Source organism: Homo sapiens, chromosome 14, assembly GCF_000001405.40.
Source record: "Homo sapiens chromosome 14, GRCh38.p14 Primary Assembly".
Classification (NCBI taxonomy): Eukaryota; Metazoa; Chordata; class Mammalia; order Primates; family Hominidae; genus Homo; species Homo sapiens.
In genome coordinates this window covers 18256356-18263325 of record NC_000014.9, presented here as the reverse complement: position 1 = coordinate 18263325, position 6970 = coordinate 18256356, and the positions used below count along the sequence as shown (strand labels likewise).

General features: G+C 36.9%; 2 annotated features.

The window, feature by feature from the left end:
- Positions 1122 to 1987: an enhancer, noted in NCBI's record as "OCT4-NANOG hESC enhancer chr14:19037816-19038681 (GRCh37/hg19 assembly coordinates)". NCBI's record gives its function as "activates a minimal SCP1, AML or CMV promoter by ChIP-STARR-seq in primed H9 embryonic stem cells {active_cell/tissue: H9 hESC(primed)}" and the evidence as "EXISTENCE:reporter gene assay evidence [ECO:0000049][PMID:30033119]".
- Positions 3013 to 3904: an enhancer, noted in NCBI's record as "OCT4-NANOG hESC enhancer chr14:19035899-19036790 (GRCh37/hg19 assembly coordinates)". NCBI's record gives its function as "activates a minimal SCP1, AML or CMV promoter by ChIP-STARR-seq in primed H9 embryonic stem cells {active_cell/tissue: H9 hESC(primed)}" and the evidence as "EXISTENCE:reporter gene assay evidence [ECO:0000049][PMID:30033119]".

Here is a 6970-nt window from a genome sequence, read left to right as displayed (position 1 = left end):
TTGGAAACTGGAATATCGTCACATAAACACTAGACAGAATTGTTCTCAGAAACTTCTTTGTGATGTGTGCATTCAACTCACAGAGTTGAACCTCTCTTTTGTTACAGGAGTTTTGAAACACTCTTTTTGCAGAATCTGCAAGGGGACATTTGGAGAGCCTTGAGGCCTATGGTGGAAAAGGAAATATCTTCACATAAAAACTAGACAGAGGCGTTCTCAGAAACTTCTTTGTGATGTTTGCATTCAACTCACAGAGTTGGACATACTTTATCATAGAGAAGTTTTGGTACACTCTTTTAGTAGAATCTACAAGTGGCTATTTTGACCGTTTATTGGCCTTCGTTGGAAATGGGAATATCCTTATATAAAAATTAGACAGAAGCATTCTCAGAAACTTCTTTGTGTTGTGTGCATTCAACTCACAGTGTTGAACCTTTCTTTTGACAGAGCAGGTTTGAAACACTGTTTTTGTAGAATCCGTAAGTGAACCTTTGGAGCACTTTGGAGCCTATGGTGGAAAAGGAAATATGTTCACATAAAAACTAGACAGAAGTATTCTCAGAAACTTCTTTGCAATGTTTGCATTCAACTCACAGAGTTGAACATACCTTATGATAAAGCAGTTTTGAAACACTCTTTTTGTAGAAACTGTAAGTGGATATTTGGACCGCTTTGAGGCCTTCGTTGGAAACGGGAATATCTTTACATAAAAACTAGACAGCAGCATTCTCATTAACTTCTTTGCGATATGTACATTCAACTCACAGAGTTGAACCTTTCTTTTGATAGAGCAGTTTTGAAACAGTCTTTTGGAGAATTTGCAAGTGGATATTTTTACTGCTTTGAGGCCTTCATTTGAAACGGAAATATATTCACATAAACACTAGAGAGAAGCATCCTCACAAACTTGTTTGTGATGTGTCCCTTCAACTCACAGAGCTGAAACTTTCTTTTGAGAGAGCAGATTTGAAGGACTCTTTTTATAGAATCTGCAAATGGACATTTGGAGCGCTTTAGAGGCCTAAGGTGGAAAAGGAAATATCTTCCCATAGAAACTAGACAGAAGGATTCTCAGAAACTTCTTTGTGATGTTTGTATTCAACTCACAGTGTTGAACATACCATTTCATAGAGCAGTTTTGAAACACTCTTTTTGCAGAAACTGCAAGTGGAAATTTGGAGAGCTTTGAGGCCTTCGTTGGAATCGGTTATATCTTCACGTAAACACTAGACAGAAGCATTATCAGAAACTTCCTTGTGATGTGTACATTCAACTCACAGACTTGAAGCTTTCTTTTGATAGAGCAGGTTTGAAACACTCTTTTTGCAGAATCTGCAAGTGGACATTTTGAGCGCTTTCAGGCCTACGGTGGAAAAGGAAATATCTTCCCATAAAAACTAGACTGAAGCATTCTCAGAAACTCATTTGCAATGTTTGCCTTCAACTCACAGAGTTGAAAATACTTTATCATAGAGCAGTTTTGAAACACTCTTTAGTAAAATCTGCAAGTGGATATTTGTAATGCTTTCAGGCCTTCGTTGGAAACGAGAATATCTTCACATAAAAACTAGACAGGAGCATTCTCAGAAACTTCTTTGTGATGTGTACATTCAATGCACAGAGTTGAACCTTTCTTTTGATAGGGCAGGTTTGAAACACTCTTTTTTTAGTATCGGCAGGAGGATATTTGGACCGCTTTAAAGCCTTCGTTGGAAGCCGGAAGATATTCACATAAACACTAGACAGAAGTATTCTCAGAAACTTCTTTGTGATGTGTGCATTCCACTCACAGAGATGAACCTTTCTTTTGATAGAGCAGGATTGAAACACTCTTTTTGTAGAATCTGCAAGTGGACATTTGGAGAGCTTTGAGGCCTATTGTAGAAAAGGAAATATCTTTATATAAAAATGAGACAGAAGAATTCTCAGAATTTTCTTTGTGATGTTCGCATTCCACTCACAGAGTTGAACATACCATTTCATAGAGCCTTTTGAAACATTCTTTGTAGAATCTGCAAGTGGATATTTGGACCGCTTTGAGGCCTTCGTTGGAAACGGGAATATCTTCACATAAGTACTAGACAGAGGTATTCTCAGAAACTTTGTGATGTGTGTATTCAACTCACAGAGCTGAACCTTTCTTTTGATAGAGCAGGTTTGAAACTTTCATTTTGTAGAATCTCCAAGTGGACACTTGGAGAGCTTTGTGGCCTATGGTGGAAAAGGAAATATCTTCACTTAAAAACTAGACAGAAGCACTCTCAGAAACTTCTTTTTGATATTTGCATTCAATTCACAGAGTAGAAACTTCCTTTCCATAGATCACTTTTGATACACTCCTTTAGTAGAATCTGAAGGGGATATTTGGACCACTTTGAGGCATTCGATGGAAACGGGAATATCTTCACATAATCACTAGACAAGGGTTCTCTGAAACTTCTTTGTGCTGTGTGCATTAAAATCACAGAGTTGAACCTTACTTTTTATAGAGCAGGTTTGAAACACACTTTTTGTACAATCTGTAACTGGACATTTAAAGTGTTTTGAGACCTATGGTGGAAAAGGAAATATCTTCCCATAAAAATTAGCTAGAAACTTTCTCAGAAACTTCTTTGGGTTGCTTGCATTCAACTCACAGAGTTGAACATATCTTATCATAGAGCTGTTTTGAAACATTCTTTTAGTAGAATCTGCAAGTGGATATTTGGAATGCCTTGAGGCCTTCGTTGGAAACTGGGATATCTTCAAATAAAAACTAGACAGCATCATTCTCAGAAACTTGTTTGTGATGTGTACATTCAGCTCACCGAGTTGAACCTTTCTTTTGATAGAGCAGTTTTGAAACACTCTTTTAGAAGAATCTGCAAGTGGATATTTGGACCGCATTGAGGCCTTCGCTGGAAATGGGAATATCTTCACATAAAAACTAAACAGCAGCATTCTGAGAAACTTTTTGTGATGTGTACATTCAACTAACAGAGGTGAAAATTTCTTTTGATGGATCAATTATGAAACACTCTTTTTGTAGTATCTGCAAGTGGATATTTGTACTGCTTTGAGACCTTCGTTTGAAACGGCAATATCTTCACATAAACACTAGACAGAAGCATTCTCACAAACTTCTTTGTGATGTGTGCCTTTAACTCACAGAGTTGAACCTTTCTTTTGATAGAGCAGGTTTGAAACACTCTTTTTGTAGAATCTGCAGGTGGACATTTGGAGCGCTTTGTGGCCTATGGTGGAAAAGGAAATATCTTCCCATAAAAACTAGACAGAAGTATTCTCAGAAATTTCTTTGTGATGTTTGCATTCAACTCACAGAGTTGAACATACCACTTCATAGAGCAGTTTTGAAACGCTCTTTTTGTAGATCCTGCAAGTGGAAATTTGGAGAGCTTTGAGGCCTTTGTTGGAATTGGGTATATCTTCACATAAACACTGGACAGAAGCATTCTCAGAAACTTCTTTGTGATGTTTGCATTCAACTACTCACAGAGTTGAACATAATTTATCATAGAGCAGTTTTGAAACACTCTTTTTGTAGAATCCGCTAGTGGATATTTGGACTGTTTTGAAGCATTCATTGGAAACGGGAATATCTTCATATAAAAACTAGACAGAAACATTCTCAGAAACTTCTTTTTGATGTGTGCATTCAACTCACAGAGTTGAACATTTCTTTTGATAGGGCAGTTTTGAAACACTCTTTTTGTAGAATCTGCAAGTGGACATTTCTGAACTTTGAGGCTTATGGTGGAAAAAGAAATACCTTCACATGAAACCTAGACAGAAGCATTCTCAGAAACTTCTTTGTGATATGTGCATTCAACTCACAGAGTTGAACCTTTCTTTTGATAGAGCAGGTTTGAAACACTCTTTTTGGAGAATTTGAAAGTGGACATTTGGAGAGCTTTGAGGCCTATGTGGAAAATGAGGTATCTTCACATAAAAACTAGACATAAGCAATATCAGAAACTTCTTTGTGATGTTTGCATTCAACTCACACAGTTGAACATACCTTTTCATGGAGGAATTTTGAAACACTTTTTTTGTAGAATCTGCTTGTGTATATTTGGACTGCTTTGAGGCCTTCGTTGGAAACAGGAATATCACTACATAAAAACTAGACAGAAGCATTCTCAGTAACTTGTTTGTGATGTGTGCATTCAACTCACAGAGTTGAACCTTTCTTTTGATAGAGCAGGTTTGAAACACTCTTTTTGCAGAATCTGCAAGTGGACATTTGGAACGCTTTGGGGCCTATGGTGGAAAAGGAAATATCTTCACATAAAAACTAGTCAGAAGCATTCTCAGAATCTTCTTTCTGATGTGTGCATTCAACTGACAGAGTTGAAGCTTTCTTTTGATAGAGCAGGTTTGAGGCACTCTTTCTGTAGCATCTGCATTGGACATTTGGAGCACTTTGAGGCCTATGGTGGAAAAAGAAATATCTTCCCATAAAAACTAGAGAGAAGCATTCAGAAACTTCTTTGTGATGTTTGCCTTCAACTCACAGAGTTGGAGATATCTTATAGAGCAGTTTTGAAACACTCTTTTAGTAGAATCTGCAAGTGAATATTTGGAACGCTTTGAGGCCTTCATTGCAAACGGGAATATCTTCACATAAAAACTAGACAGCAGCATTCTCAGAAACTTCTGTATGATGTGTGCATTCAACTCACAGAGATGAAACTTTCTTTTGATAGAGCAGTTTTGAAACACTCTTTTTGCAGAATCTACAAGTGGACATTTGAAGCGCTTTGAGGCCTATGGTTGAAAAGGAAATGTCTTCACATAAAAACTAAACAGAATAATTCTCAGAAATTATTTGTGATGTTTGCATTCAACTCACAGAATTGGACATACTTTATCATAGAGCAGTTTTGAAACACTCTTTTAGTAGAATCTGCAAGTGGATATTTGTACTGCTTTGAGACCTTCGTTGGAAATGGGAATATCTTCACATAAACATTCAACAGAAGCATTCTCATAATCTTCTTTGTGATGAGTGCATTCAACTCACAGAGTTGAAACTTTCTTTTCAAAGAGCTGTTTGAAACACTCTTTTTGTAGAATGTGCAAATGGACATTTGGAGCGCTTTGAGGCCTGTGGTGGAAAAGGAAATATCTTCACATAAAAACTAGACAGAAGAATTCTGAGAAACTTCTTTGTGATGTGTGCGTTCTTCTCACAGAGTTGAAACTTCCTTTTGATTGAGCAGTTTACAGACACTCTTTTTGTAGAATCTACAAGTGGGCATTAGGAGCCCTTTGCGACTTATGTTATAAAGGAAATATCTTCACATAAAATCTAGACAGAACCAATGTGAGAAACCTCTTTGTGATGTATGTATTCACCTCACAGAGTTTAACCTTTCTTTTGATCGAGCAGTTTTGATCCTCTTTTTTGTAGAATCTGCAAGTGGACATTTGGAGTGCTTTGAGGCCTATGGTGGAAAAGGAAATATCTTCACATAAAAACTAGGGAGAAGAATTCTGAGAAACTTCTTTGTGATGTGTGCGTTCATCTCACAGAGTTGAACCTTTCTTTTGATTGAGAATTATGGAAAAACTCTTTTTGTAGATTCTGTAAGTGGACATTTGAAGCGCTTTGCAGCCTAACTTAGAAAAGGAAATATCTTCACATAAAATCTAGACAGAAGCATTCTCAGAAACTTCTTTGTGATGTTTGCATGCAACTCACCGAGTTGAACCTTTCTTTTGATACAGCAGTTTTGAAACTCTCTTTTTGTTGAATGTGGAAGTGGACATTTAGAGCGCTTTGAGGCTTATGGTGGAAAAGGAAATATCTTCACATAGAAACTAGACAGAAGCATTCTCAGAAACTTCTTTGTAATATCTACATTCTACTCACAGAGTTGAATATTCATTTTCATGGGGAAGCTTTGAAACACTCTTTTTGTAGAATATGCTAGTGGATATTTGGACTGCTTTGAGGCCTTCATTGGAAACGGGAATATCTTCACATAAAAACTAGACAGAAGCATTCTCAGAAACTTGTTTGTAATGTGTGCATTCACTTCACAGAGTTGAAACTTTCTTTTGATAGAGCAGTTTTGAAACACTCTTTTTGTAGAATCTGCAAGTGGACACTTGGAACACTTTGAGGCCTATAGTGGAAAAGGAAATATCTTCCCATCTAAACTAGAGAGAAGCATTCTCAGAAACTTCTTTTTGATGTTTGCCTTCAACTCACAGAGTGGAACATACCTTATCATAGATTCGTTTTGAAACACTCCTTTAGTAGAATCTGCAAGTGGATATTAGGTACCCCTTGAGGCCCTCCTTGGAAACGGGAATATCTTCACATAAAATCTAGACAGCAGCATTTTCAGAAACTTCTTTGTGATGTGTACATTCAACTCACAGAGTTAAACCTTTCTTTTGATTGAGAAGTTCTGAAACATTCTTTTTGTAGAATCCGCTAGTGGACATTTGTAGCGCTTTTGGGCCTATAATGGAAAAGGAAATATCTTCACATAAAAACTAGACAGAAGTATTCTCAGAATCTTCTTTGTGATGTGTGACTTCAACTCAAATAGTTGAAACTTTCTTTTGATTCAGCAGTTTGGAAACACTCTTTTTGGAGATTCTGCAAGTGGACATTTGTAGCACTATGTGGACTATGGTAGAAAAGGTAATATCTTCAAAAAAAATCTAGACAGAAGGAATCTGAGAAACTCCTTTGGCATGTGTGCATTCATCTCACAGAGTTCAAACTTTCTTTTGACTGAGCAGTTTTGAAACACTGTTCTTGTAGAATTTGCAAGTGGACATTTGGATCGTTTTGAGGCCTATGGTGGAAAAGGAAATATCTTCACATAAAAACTTGACAGAAGAATTCTGAGAATCTCCTTTGTGATGTATGCGTTTATCTCACAAAGTTGAACCTTCCTTTTGATTGGGCAGTTTAGAAACATTCTTTTTGTAGAATCTGCAAGTGGACTAT